Raw genomic sequence first — 13,743 nt, 5'->3', positions numbered from 1 at the left:
GAGCCACTCCCTCACATTGCAGTCCTAGGTCTCCACTTGGTGTATTGCTGAACCTTTCAGCTGTGAGTTCTGCAGACCACACAGTGAAGGATAAAGTGTCCTCCTTCCACACTCTAGCTTTCGGCAGGTTTCCCAGTGGTTGGGGGATCACAGCACGGAACATTTTAGGGAGAGGGTCCCTGAAGGTCAGTTGTGTGGCTCCTGGTAGGCCCAAGTGCCCCAGGGCCCTTATAAGAGACAGTCTTGGTTGGCTCTGTCGCTCAGGAGTGTGGGGTCCCCATGGGGGCGGGGGCATGCCCACTGACTTTGCCTCTGTGCCTTCTGCAGCGTAGACCTCACCACTGGCCAGCCATGAAGTTTCGCAGCCACCCTGACCATTCCACCTATGCGGAGGTGGAGCCCTCGGGCCATGAGAAGGAGGGCTTCATGGAGGCTGAGCAGTGCTGAGAACACCAAGTCTCCCCTTTGAAGACTTTGAGGCCACAGAAAAGACAGTTAAAGCAAAGAAGAGAAGTGACTTTTCCTGGCCTCTCCCAGCATGCCCTGGGCTGAGATGAGATGGTGGTTTATGGCTCCAGAGCTGCTGCTCGCTTCGTCAGCACACCCCGAATATTGAAGAGGGGGCCAAAAAACAACCACATGGATTTTTTATAGGAACAACAACCTAATCTCATCCTGTTTTGATGCAAGGGTTCTCTTCTGTGTCTTGTAACCATGAAACAGCAGAAGAACTAACATAACTAACTCCATTTTTGTTTAAGGGGCCTTTACCTATTCCTGCACCTAGGCTAGGATAACTTTAGAGCACTGACATAAAACGCAAAAACAGGAATCATGCCGTTTGCAAAACTAACTCTGGGATTAAAGGGGAAGCATGTAAACAGCTAACTGTTTTTGTTAAAGATTTATAGGAATGAGGAGGTTTGGCTATTGTCACATGACAGACTGTTAGCCAAGGACAAAGAAGTTCTGCAAACCTCCCCTGGACCCTTGCTGGTGTCCAGATGTCTGCGGTTGTCAGCCCCTTCCTTTCCCCCGACCTAAACATAAAAGACAAGGCAAAGCCCGCATAATTTTAAGACGGTTCTTTAGGACATTAGTCCACCATCTTCTTGGTTTGCTGGCTCTCCGAAATAAAGTCCCTTTCCTTGCTCCAACTCCTTGTCTCTCAACGTATTGGCTATGACGCAGCAAGCAGAATGAATTTGGACTCAGTTACAGGCTGTCAATGGTCTGCTCTGTAGCAGTCTCAGAGCCTCCCCGACCCACTACCTGGAGATAGCCAGATAGCCAGATGCCCTGCTCCTGGCCACCTTTAAAGCCCCTGCATATGACACAGGTTAACTAAAGTCAAGATTGGGGCTGCTGCATTCCAGGTTCCCTAGACTCACAAGCTGGTCCTTGGCCAGGTGCAGTGGCTCACGCCTGTAATCCCAGCACTTTGGGAGGCTGAGGCAGGCGGATCACCTGAAGTCAGAAGTTTGAGACCAGCCTGGCCAACATAATTAAAATGTCTCTACTAAAAATACAAAAAATTAGCTGGGTGTGGTGACGCTTGCCTGTATCCCAGCTACTCAGGAAGCTGAGACACGAGAATCACTTGAACCTGGGAGGCAGAGGTTGCAGTGAGCTCAGATAGTGCCACTGCACTCCAGCCTGGGTGACAGAGCGAGACTCCGTCTCAAAAAAAAAAAAAGAAAGCAGATCCTCATGGCTATAGAGTTGGCATTTTAGCCCCAGCTTCTGTAGCTCTGAAAGCCTAAAGAAGGTATTCTCTCCATCTGTTAAACACAGTATAGTGGCTCTCAGCCCTTGGGGCATGTTATCATGGGAGGGAAGTCAAATAAGAGGAGAGAAAAGAACTCAAGGGGGAAACTGCATTTTTAGGCTTTGCTCTCTTACCTTGCCCTTTCTACTCAGAACCAATAACTTCTGCATCAAAACATGTTACAGCCTGCATCAAGGGCTTTACCCCAACCTGCAGCCCAGCCTTCCCTGGGTGAGCTTGCTATGCGCAGCCACATTTACCATGTGGGGCTCCCTATTCTGATGGCCTGTTCGGTGCCGGGTTTACTCACTGCCCTGTTCTGATGTCAGTGCCTGTACATACCTCCAAAGGCAGGACTTGCCTGATAAATATTTTTCCTCCTCTGAACTGGATTTTATAGGCATTAAAGACAAGTCGGGTGGCTAGAGGGCTCCTTGAGACATACCTAGCAGGGAACTGCAGGTGGATTCTGTTGAGAGGCAAAGCACCTGAGTGGTTGGGACACAGGCAGCTGGCATGGGAGGGACTTTTTTTGAGACAGGGTCTCACTGTGTCGCCCAGGGCAAGGATGCCCAAAGACACCAGGTTGGAGAGGCACCTGCCAACTACTTGCTTTCCCTGGAGCCTGCATGTGCCTGTGGGGTGGGGAGGCGTAGGGGTCTACGGCTGCCTGAGATGGGTGTGCACAGTGTGTGAAGTACCTACCTCCTTGCCTTGCTGGACTGTCAGCCAGTCGCAGGGCCGGCCACAAGACCCATGTCTCCATCTGGTCATACTCCATAGCTACCAAGTTAACCTGCTCTAAACTTTGGAGAACTGGATCTGTCCAATAAACGCTTATTTGGCCAAGCCTGATGGCTCGTGCCTGTACTCCCAGCACTTTGGGAGGCTGAGGTGGGAGGGTTGCTTGAGCCCAGGGGTTTGAGACCAGCTTGGGCAACAACAACAAAAATGCCAGGTGTGGTGGGGTGCACCTGTAGTCCCAGCTACTAGGGAGGCTGAGCCAGGAGGATCACTTGAGCCCGGGAGGTTGAGGCTGCAGTGGGGGGTCATAATCATGCCACTGTACTCCAGCCTGGGTGACAGAGTGAGACCCTGTCTCCGAAAAAAAAAAAAAAAAAAAGAACGGAAAAAGAAATGCTTACATTGTCAGGGATCCTGTAGACAATCATTAACTCTATGAGATGCTTGGTTCTATTTTTTTGGGAGACTTTGTCCAAGTGTTTTGGCTTAAGAAATCCATAGGCCTCTCTTGGTGACACATCTCTAGTACTTTTTGTCATAAACAAACAGGCCATCTGCCGCCAAATACATCCACTCCCCATGCCACTGACATCCTATGGGTCAGCCAGGCTTGCTTTGACTGAGGCCGAGGCATCTGGAACTTTCTCTGCCTGCAGGGGCTAGCAGCAGAGGCTTCACCGCATCACCACCCCTTCCTCCACTCCTGACATTCTTTCCCTTCAGGGATCCAAAATGGTTGGCCGAGCTCCCAGTGGGAAAACGTGTGCTAGAGTTGGGGAGTGAGATGAGTGGTGCTGTCCATGGAATCAGGCCACAGCAGGAACTGCCCCACTGGCCATTTGAGACACACACAGGTGGTAAATGCTCTGCTGGTGGGCTGTGCTTCCCTCATTCAGAGAGCTCTGTTACAGCCCACTGTGTCCTTTAGAAGCTTGAAAGGAACCCAACTCTTTGCTGCACTGTCCTTTTTCTTCCTCAAATTCAGACCCTCCTTCCACCGGCACCCCCCTACTCCACCCTCAGCTCTTCCTTGCCTGGTTTATCAAGCAGAGCTGAGGCCCCACGTTTCCAACTCTGATTGTCACTTGCATCTTCACAAAGGATAAACCACGGAGCAACTGGAAAACCATCAGCCAAGCGTTCGGATGAGTCTGGTTATTGGTCCACCCCCGACCAGATTCCCTTACACTTAACTCACTTCTTTCTTTGGCAATGACCCTCATGACATGTATAAATGGGTATGACTAAGAAGAGGCTGTGATCTAACATTTATTTGCTGCCATTTTTTACTCTGGGGAGAAGCAGCCCCAACTCATCACTGGGAAAGAACTCCCCCTGCAAACCAGCTAAATTTGATAATTTAAACCCCCTGCCCCTAAAACTTCTCACAGAGCTGGGGAGTTGGTGGCAACTTTCCAAGTCAAGGTCTTGCTTAGAAAGTCCTTCACTACATGGCCAGGTGCAGTGGCTCACGCCTGTAGTCCCAGGTACTTGGGAGCCTGAGGCAGGAGGATTGCTTGAGCTCAGGAGTTCAAGGCTGCAGAGAGCTATGATCATCCCACTGCATTTGTTTAAAAATAAATTTTTAAAATTTGTGTGTTTTATCAGGGGTCTCCTGTACAGTGTATCTGTGTATGTTTGTGTGTGTGTTTGTATACAGCCTTGTTTAATGTTTTGAGCAATAAGATATGCACACACAGGTATTTTGTTGCTAAAGAGATTGGACAAGGTTGTAGCTGTGCTCAGGCTTCAGCTTGGTTTGTTAAATTGAGAGATAAACAATGACAAGAGCTGCCAGCCAACCACACTATTCAAAAAGCAAAGTGTTCACCACTAAAGCTAACCATTCATCTGGTTGCAGGCAAGGCTAAGGCTCTCTCTCCTCTAGTTCCTGGAACAGACTCACAGATTGGCATGAAGCACTGATCAGGGGCTGCACTCAGACTCCCTGGCCAAGCAAACCTACACCAGAAGAGTCAGTGTCACAGATATGATGCGGCCAATCTCTGTCTCCAAAAACCTACCTGAACTTAATGGTAGAATTCAAAGATCTGGGGACTGAGGGCACCCAGCCTTCTAAAACACAATGTATTCATGTGTTTAGTGTAAACTCTCTGCATGGATTCTCAGTGTTAATAATAAAAGGAAGCATTCTTTTACAACTCCTGCTGTGTGCAAAAGAAAGTGCAAAGGATTTGGAGTGGCATTCCGAAGATCACCACACATACCTTGGTTCTGATGGCTGCTGAACTCCGACTTCTTCGCTGAGACATGACTGTGGGAACAGCCTCCAGCTATCTGCTCATCAGAGGTGCTTTCCTCAACCTCCTGCACCACCTCCAAGAGAAACAGCCTAAAAAGAAACCCCAGCTGTTTACTTATATTGGTCTGTAAATCCCTGGAAGTAAACCCCATGCATTTTTATCTACTGTCTGAGGACATACAATAAATCTGAGAAAGTCTATGCTGTCACATTTCTGGATGCTTTGCATTTGAACAACTTTAGCGGCCTCATTGTGTTTTTATTACTTTGTGGTTTTGCTCACAAAACATGGTTTAGCGAGCCAAAACAAAGAGAGGAAAAATGTGAACACCTCACAGCCAAAATCAGTGATGCCACATTTCAGGCTCCAAACAAGCCAATTTATAAATAAACATGCTGTGTTCGCCAAATCAAGAGGAATGTGTTAAGAGAAGACAACGTGAACTGATGGAGAAGGTGCTGAGCTGGACGGGGAGTGGGAAGGTGGGAGCTTGGCCTCAGCCCTGCCCCTGAGTAGCTGGGTGATGTGGACAAGTCACTGGACTTCTCTGGGCTGGCTTCCACCCCTGTGAAATAGGAGGTACTAGACTAACTGGTCTAAAGTGGGACCTGAGCAATCAGCTGCCTGGTCCTTTTTCAGGTCACACAGCAACTTAGACCAAAGCATGCCTTTCTCTTTCATTATCCCGATAGGGTGACCAAATTGTTCTATCCAGGACTCTCCTGGTTCTAACACACAAAGTCCTGCATCCCAGGAATCTCCTCAATCCTGGGCACATTGGAATGTTATAGAACCAAACCAGGTCTTCTCACCTGGCGCAATAACACCAGATGTCCACACTGAGACTTTGCAGCAATAGAGAAAGGAAGGCATTTGTTTGCAGGACTCCAAGCAAGGAGAATTGGGTGGCTTATGCTTAAGATATGAACTCTTGATGGCTTGCAGGTAAGGTTTTTTTGTTGTTTTTTTTTTTTTTGAGAGAGTCTCACTCACTCTGTTGCCCAGGCTGGAGTGCAGTGGTGCGATCTCAGCTCACTGCAACCTCTGCCTCCTGGGTTCAAGTGATTCTCCTGCCTCAGCTTCCTGAGTAGCTGGGACTACAGGCATGCACCATCACGTGCAGCTAATTTTTGTATTTTTAGTAGAGACGGGGTTTCACTATGTTGACCAGGCTGGTCTCAAACTCCTGGCCTCAAGTGATCTGCCCACCTCGGCCTCCCGAAGTGCTAGGATTATAGGCATGAGCCGCTGTGCCCAGCCACAGGTAAGGATTTTAAAAGGCAGGGGTAAATTTCAGGAAAGCAGATGTTACAGGTAAAATCATAAATCAATATATGGAAGCTATACGTTGGTTTGACCTAAAAAGGCAGGACGTCTCAAAGCAGGACCCACAAGTCATAAGGTGGGTTCAAAGATTTTCTGATTTGCGATTGGTTCAGGAGGCGAAGCTTTGTCTAGACATGTGGGATCAGCAGAAAAGAATGTTAGCTCTGGCTCATGGGCAATGGCCTCCTCCAGGTCCCTCAGGAAGAAATTTAGAACAACGAACTATAGTCAGAGTCAGTCCTCAGCACCCGTTTATCTGAGGTCTACATGCCAGCGGATCCCTTTTGGAGGGGTCTGGGCTTCTGAAAAACAACTCAGGGACATACGTTAAGATGTTATCTTTAGTTTGTAGAGAGGGGAACCAAACATCTCCTGGCTCTAACTTCCTCAGCTATTGTTTTAGACTACTATTACCTTCCTGCTTACCAAGTTGCTGATTTACTTCTCAGGGCTAGCTAGGATTTCCCTGAAGGAACTCAAGATTTTCCTTTATCCCCATGTGTGGGTGTCCCCAGCTCCCTCGCCATGTTTGGTCCCCTCTACCCTTGGCACAGCCCTCCCACCCCATTGGCTGAAGAAATAATGATTTCAAGCACCTGGAAAGCACTTTAGAATATAGAACCTTGCTAGTTAAAGTCTGGTCCAGGGCCAGGCACAGTGGCTCATGCCTGTAATCCCACCACTTTGGGAAGCTGAGGTGGGAGGACTATTTGAGCCCAGGAGTTTGAGACCAGCCTGGGAAACACAGGGAGACATTTTCTCTCAAAACAAAACAAAAACAAAAACAAAAACAAAACAAAAAAAATTAGCTGGGCACAGTGGTACATGCCCTGTGGTCCGAACTACTCGGGAGGCTTGGGCCCAGGAGTTCCAAGCTTCATTGAGCCATGATCACGCTACTGCCCTCTAGCCTGGGGGACAGAGCAAGACCCTGCTTTAAAAAAATGTAAATCTGTATAATAAAGTGTGGTCCAGGCCAGGTACAGTGGCTCATACCTGTAATCCTGCTCTCTGGGAGGCCAAGATGGGAGGATGGCTTGAGGCCAGGAGTTCAAAACCAGCATGAGCAACACAGCGAGACCTTGTCTCTACAAAAATAAATAAATAAATAAATAAAATAATAAAGTGTGGTCCAGCCAGGCAGCATTAGCATTCCCTGGGGTTAGCTGGAAATGCAGCACTCAGGCCCCCCAACCCCAGAACTACTGAGTCCGAATCTGCATTTGAGCAGCTCCTTAGGTGACTCCTGTGAAGGGCATGAAAGTTTGAGATGCACCATTTAGGAAGCAATTCTACCTACATGATCGCAGCCTGTTGGAGAAGCACTGTTTTTCCTTTCCCAGATGAGGAAACTGAGGCTCAGGGAGGTGGCTTACTTATTTATTCACTTGATCCACATTCATTAAACGCCTGTGTGCCAGGCACCATTAAGTGACTTGCACAAGGTCACACAGCTAGTAAGTAGAGAAAAACCCCAAGTGCAGATTTTTGGATTCCCATCTGAGGTTGTTCTCTGTGTACCTCAGGGTGTTGCCAGAACCACATGGCCACAGTTTAATATAGAAGCAGATTATGGATTATGACAGACAGACTGCTCCAGGCCTGTAGAGATCCTCGAAGAGATGCCTAGTGATGACTTCAGATCCTCGCTCTTGGCTCACGAAACTGTGAGCTTACCATCTATTTATTTGCACAGTCCCAGGAGCTTGAGAATGTCCTAGTTGTTGCTGCCTCCTTCTCATCCCGCTGCTCACACTAGCGACCCTCCCACATGAAGAATTAGAAGTACTCCTCACAAGCCTTACAGAGCACCAGGCGATGCCTCCATCTAATTTATCTTCTTGGATGGAGGACAATGGATTACTTCCTTCGCCAAGATGGGGCCAGAGGTGCAGGGAGGAAGGAAGAGGGGTAGAATCTTTACTTCAACTGTGAAATCCAGAGAGAAATTTTGTGGGGAATGATTTTTCTGATGTTCATAAAACATTTTTACATTTGGTCCCTAGAGATAGCTAAATTATGCCTACAGTTTTCCACAAAGCTAAAAGCACTGAAAAAAAAATCACCTGAATATGGGCCAATAAAATTTCATCATACCTTCCCAGAGTCTTGGGTTAGAACCTTCCCTTCCAGCTTGTCTTTCCCCTTTTTCAGTCTCTCCCCCTCAAAGTTTGTGTGGTTTTGTTTCTTTGTGTTTTGAGACAGGGTCTTGCTCTGTTGCCCAGACTGGAGTGCCGTAGCATGATCTCGGCTCACTGCAGCCTTTGCCTCCTGGGTTCAAGCGATTCTCCTGCCTCAGCCTCCTGAGTAGCTGGGACCACAGGTGTGTGCCACCATGCACGGCTAATTTGTGTGTATTTGTGTGTGTGTGTGTGTGTGTGTTTGAGATGGAGTTTCGCTCTTGTTGCTCAGGCTGGAGTGCAGTGGCGTGACCTCGGCTCACTGCAACCTCCACCTCCCGGGTTCAAGCGATTCTCCTGCCTCACCATCCCGAGTAGCGGGGATTATAGACATGCACCACCACGCCCAGCTAATTTTGTATTTTTAGTAGAGATGGGGTTTCTCCACGTTGGTCAGGCTGGTCTCGAACTCCCGACCTCAGGTGATCCGCCCTACTTGGCCTTCCAAAGTGCTGGGATTACAGGCATGAGCCACTGCACCCAGTCAATTTTTGTATTTGTAGTAGAGACAGGGTTTCTCCAGGTTGGCCAGGCTGGTCTTGAACTCCTGGCCTCAAGTGATACGACCACCTCAGCCTCCCAAAGTGCTGGGATTACAGGCATGAGCCATTGTGCCCGGCCTTAGATCCCATTTTTAATTAAGAGATGAAGATGCTGCTCTCAGCAAACCTGTGCACTGACTCTGCTCTCCTAAGGAACATTAAGCAATTCCAAGAGCCCCTCCTCAAGGCCAAAAGGGCAGCCTCCTGTAGGGCCTACCTTCCCGTTCTCAGAGCCTCCCTTTTCTCTCTCTTTTTTTTTCTTTCTTTTTTTTTTAGAGACAGGGTCTCAGTCTGTTGTCCAGGATTCAGTTCAGCGATGCAATCATGGCTCACTGCAGCCTTGAATTCCTGGGCTAAAGTGATCCTCCCACCTCCGCCTTCCAAGTAGCTGGGACTACAGGTGGGAACCATCATGCCTGGCTAATTATTTTATTTTTTGTAGAGATGGGGTCTTGTTTTTCTGCCTAGGCTGATCTTGAACTCCTGGGCTCAAGCAATCCTCCCATCTCAGCCTCCCAAAGTGTTGGGATTATAGGTGTGAGCCACCACGCCCGGATGGAGCATCCCCTCTCTACAGCTGCTGACACCCCTCTCTGTTCCCTGGGGCTCTTCTCCCCCAGGCCCATTACAGACTGAGCAGAATCCTCCCAGCTGTGCTCACTCTTCCCTCTGCCTCTGTAGACAAGCACTTAGCCCTCTTTAGCCGTGAAGAAGGAGCCACAACTAACAAAATTAGGCAGAGGTAAACATTACTTAAAACCAAAGGTCCTGGTCTACTGACTTTTGGACTCTGGGATGGTACTGCTGGTGGTGCTGCCGGCAGCTCACATTTACTGGGTGTTTCCTATGTTCCAAGCACATTTTAGGAGATTTACTTGTATCGTCATCTATGGGGTGGGTGCTGTTGCTACCTCTACCCTACACAGGAGGCCACTGAGGCACAGCGCAATAGGGAACTGTATGTTTTTGTATTTTTAGTACAGATAGAGTTTTGCCATATTGCCAAGGCTGCTCTCGAACTCCTGGTCTCAAGTGACCCGTCCGACTCAGTCTCCCAAACTGCTGGGATTACAGGCATGAGCCACCGTGCCCAGCCTGATCTTTAAATTTTTTCTGTAGAGATGGGGTCTCACTATGTTGCCCAAGCTGAGATTTCTTAAAAAGGGACAGCATAAAATGACATGGGGTTTAGCATCAGTAGGTTTGAGTTCAACCTTAAGCTTCCATAATTCTTGTCAGGAACCTTAAGCAAGTCAATTAACCACCCTGAGTTTGAGTTTCTTAATCTAAAAAAACCAGAGAACTGGAAGATTAGTGTGGCAATGCATCTGAAAATATTCTGTAAACCAGAGTGCTGGACAAATGCTAATCTATTATTGAATTCAGCACTTCATTTCAGCGGAGCTAGGAATTCCATATTTGGAGCCACCTTGACAGGAGATGTCTGAAAAAGCTGCTTCCGGTGGCATGCCTTTTGGGCTCCGTGGACAGCCATTGCTGAATAAAACTTAATGACGCCATAGAAACCAGAATGGGCCACTGCAGCATTTGGGAAGACCCGGACTGAATACAAAAGGTCAAACTGGGAAAATGCTGTGAACAGTGAAAGCTGTGGGGGTGGTCCTACGCCAAATAAGCGCATGAAATCTCACGCCCAGAAAACAAAACCGCCCATGCCTTCATATTCCCCAAACGCTTCTTCGAGAAGGATGCAATTCAAAACACTTCCCACTTAACCAACAAGTTTTCTTCTTAAGATCCTAAACTTGAAGAAGTCCTAGAAGGTAAAATGTGCTGACTGGAGAGGTACCTCTCCGGGACTCTAAAAATCTGTTTGGGGTAGCTGTCTGCTGGGGTCCCCTCTAGAATTAAGAGTCCTTCAGCGGGCCAGGCGCGGTGGCTCACGCCTGTAATCCCAGCACTTTGGGAAGCCACGGCGGGCGGATCACCTGAGGTCAGGAGTTCGAGACCAGCCTGGCCAACAAGGTGAAACCCCCGCCTCTACTAAAATACAAAATTAGCCAGGTGTGGTGGCGGGCACCTGTAATCCCAGCTACTCCGGAGGCCGAGTCAGGAGAATCGCTTGAACCCGGGAGGCGGATGCTGCAGTGGGCAGAGATCGCGCCACTGCACTACAGCCTGGGCAACAGAGCAACAGTGTGTCTCAAAAAAAAAAAAAAAAAAAAAAAAGAGTCCTTCAGCAGAGGCTGAGGCAGGTGAGGTGCTGAAGCAGGACTCTGGAACTCCCAGTTAGCAGGTGGGCGGCTTTCTCCATCCCTCCCTCCACCCTGGCCCAGGCTCACATGCAAAGCGTCGGCCGTGGGTCCAGAGCTCAGCTCCCACACTAGCAAGGTTTTGTCACTCTTGGTGGGAACCGCAAAAGGTAGCAGATCCGCCAGCCTCCCTTCGCTGAGCCTGCGCGGCTAAGGCTCGCGCAGTACTGCGCCTGCGCAAGGCACGCCCACGCTTTTTTTAAAAAAAGAGGCGCAGGCGAGGGGAGGGGCGGCGCCCGGATCGCTCCCTCGCCCCTCCTACCTGGGGCCGGCCTCTGAGCCTGTTCCTGTCCTCCAGCCACACCGCCACGATCCCTGAGTTTAGAACTTCCATTCAAGTGCATGTTTAGGGTACAGTCCCAAAATGGCCTGACAGCATGAAAGGGTAGGGACATATTTATAGCAGCCAGTTTCATCTTCACTCCTGCTGGAGATTAGGGTACTAAGTATTAGCACTACCTACTGAGCTTGTGGGAAATAACCATGAAAGATGCAATCTTTTGACTTAAGAGGTTTTTTTTTAAGGAGTTTAACATATTCAAATAAAAGTATAACTCACTAAGCTATTAACAGTCTAGCATGAAATCCTTAAAAAGAATTTCCTAGTTGTCCTACGTGATTCTGGGGAATTGTGTACGTGAACTTGTGGAGGTCAGATGATGTGGGAGATGGGAGGTTTGAATGAGAAGTAGAGATCAATTTTGAAAAAAAAAAAAAAATTCAAAGAATAGGTCCAAATTGGAGCTGATAGTGTCTGAGAGGGGTAGGTGTCATAATCAGCTACGTGGTAGAGCAGTGTAATCACCTGATGGGTTCATTGTACCCACTGCCCAGAAAAGCCGATTTACTGAGACAGCATTATTGAAATAGAGAAAGAGTTTAATAAGCACAGAACTAGCTAAATAGAAGACTGGAGTTTTATTATTACTCAAATCAGCCTCCCTGAAAATTTGGAAGCTAGGGTTTTTTAAGGATAGTTTGGCAGGCTGGGGGCTAGGGAGTGGGAAATGCTGATTGGTTGGGTCAAGGATGAAATCATAGGGTGTCAAAACTTGTGTTCTTGTGCTGAGTGAATTCCTGGTTGGGGGCCACAAGACCAGATGAGCCAGTTTGCCAATCTGAGTGGTCCCAGCTGGTCCATCAGAATACAGGGTCTGAAAAATACCTAGAACGCCAATCTTAGGTTTTTTTTTTTTTTTTTTTTGAGACGGAGTGTTGCTCTGTTGCCCAGGCTGGAGTGCAGTGGCGCAATCTTGGCTCACTGCAAGCTCCGCCTCCCGGGTTCAGCCATTCTCCTGCCTCAGCCTCCCCAGCAGCTGGGACTACAGGCACACACCACCACGCCCGGCTAATTTTTGTATTTTTAGTAGAGACGGGGTTTCTCTGTGTTAGCCAGGATGGTCTCGATCTCCTGAACTTGTGATCCACCCGCCTCGGCCTCCCAAAGTGCTGGGATTACAGGCATGAGCCACCGCGCCCGGCCCTTAGGTTTTACAATAGTAATATTGAAAGGAGTTAGTTAGCTTGCCTTAGGTAGATAACAAGGGAAGGGTCCCCAGAGAGCTCCCGGCCCACAGGTCAGTGCCTCATCCCCACACAACAGAAAAAGCAGCCTGGGAAAACATTCAAGCTGCAGGCACCCATAAGGGAACAGGCACAGGGTGTTGTGCCTGGAGACATGCCCACGGCTGCACAGATAGAAAAACCTCAGGTCCATTTGGATAAAAACTTCAACAAACTTCCATCTCACTCACATAAAGGAACAAGACCTGGCATAGAAATGTCTTTGTCCTTTGTATAGTCAGCGGCCTCCCAGGACAAAGTTTCTTCTCCTTTTGTGGGCGTGGCTACAGTGGGCTCCAGTGGGTTCCAGTGGACACTCTACTTTCCTTTTTGGACTATAAGTTTGGCCTCTGTGAATTATCACTTCAGCCCTTGATAGGTCCGGGGCCAAGCTTTCACTTCAGCTCCTGATAGGTCCTGGGCCAAGCTAAGCAGCATCTAGGAATCATCATTTCAGCTCGTGATTGGTCCTGGGCCAAGCTAAGCAGCATCTAGGAATCATCATTTCAGCTCCTGAGTGGTCCTGGGGCAACTAACCACATTCCTTCCCCTTCCCAGTCTTTAAAAACCCTGGACATCAGCCTCATAGGGGCACCCGTGTGGGACTCCCTTTCTGCTGGCAGAGAGCTTTCTTCTTTCGCTTATTAAACTTTCACTCTAACCTCACCTTTGTGTCTGCTCTCCTTAATTGTCTTGGAGGTAGGACAAAGAACTCTGGGGCGCATTATCTCAGACAAGGAGCGACTGTTAAATCTTGGTGCATTGCTGAGACTATAACAATGTTATGGGGTTTTTTTTGTTTTGTTTTGTTTTGTTTTTAGACAGTCTCCCTCTGTTGCCCAGGCAGTGGCGCAATCTTGGCTCACTGCAACCTCCGTCTCCTGGGTTCAAGCGATTCTCCCCCGTCAGCCTCCTAAGTAGGTGGGGTAACAGGTGCCTGCCACCACACCCGGCTAATTTTTGTATTTTTAGTAGAGACAGGGTTTCACCATGTTGGCAAGGCTGGTCTTGAACTCCTGACCTTAAGTGATCCACCCCCCTCCTCCCAAAGTGCTGGAATTACAGGCATGAGCCACTGTGCCC

At 48.6% G+C, this 13,743-nt stretch overlaps 1 protein-coding gene and 1 pseudogene across 14 annotated transcripts in view, besides 1 other annotated feature; one reads left to right on the top strand and one right to left on the bottom strand.

Moving 5' to 3' along the window:
- Positions 1-4,974, top strand: part of PLXDC1 (plexin domain containing 1) — an 89,655-nt gene extending 84,681 nt beyond the window's left edge. For all 12 annotated transcript variants that reach the window (XM_047436434.1, XM_047436432.1, XM_047436435.1 and 9 more), the window contains one exon: positions 328-4,974. In XM_047436434.1, the coding sequence (XP_047292390.1) occupies positions 328-447 (120 nt within the window). In that variant the 3' untranslated portion in view covers positions 448-4,974. The remainder of the gene's footprint in view (positions 1-327) is intronic.
- The window catches only part of RDM1P5 (RDM1 pseudogene 5), a 34,940-nt pseudogene extending 23,672 nt beyond the window's left edge, over positions 1-11,268 (bottom strand). For both annotated transcript variants that reach the window (NR_174975.1, NR_036551.2), the window contains exons 1-2: positions 11,128-11,268; positions 4,741-4,865 (exon numbers count right to left, since the gene is read on the bottom strand). The product of NR_174975.1 is annotated as an RDM1 pseudogene 5, transcript variant 2 (transcript). The remainder of the gene's footprint in view (positions 1-4,740; positions 4,866-11,127) is intronic.
- Positions 11,187-11,426: a silencer, noted in NCBI's record as "silent region_8447". NCBI's record gives its function as "represses an Ori minimal core promoter by ATAC-STARR-seq in GM12878 lymphoblastoid cells {active_cell/tissue: GM12878}" and the evidence as "EXISTENCE:reporter gene assay evidence [ECO:0000049][PMID:35858748]".

Source organism: Homo sapiens, chromosome 17, assembly GCF_000001405.40.
Source record: "Homo sapiens chromosome 17, GRCh38.p14 Primary Assembly".
NCBI classification, from domain to species: Eukaryota; Metazoa; Chordata; class Mammalia; order Primates; family Hominidae; genus Homo; species Homo sapiens.
Note: the sequence above shows the minus strand (reverse complement) of the source record. Positions and strands in the feature narration are given on the sequence as shown.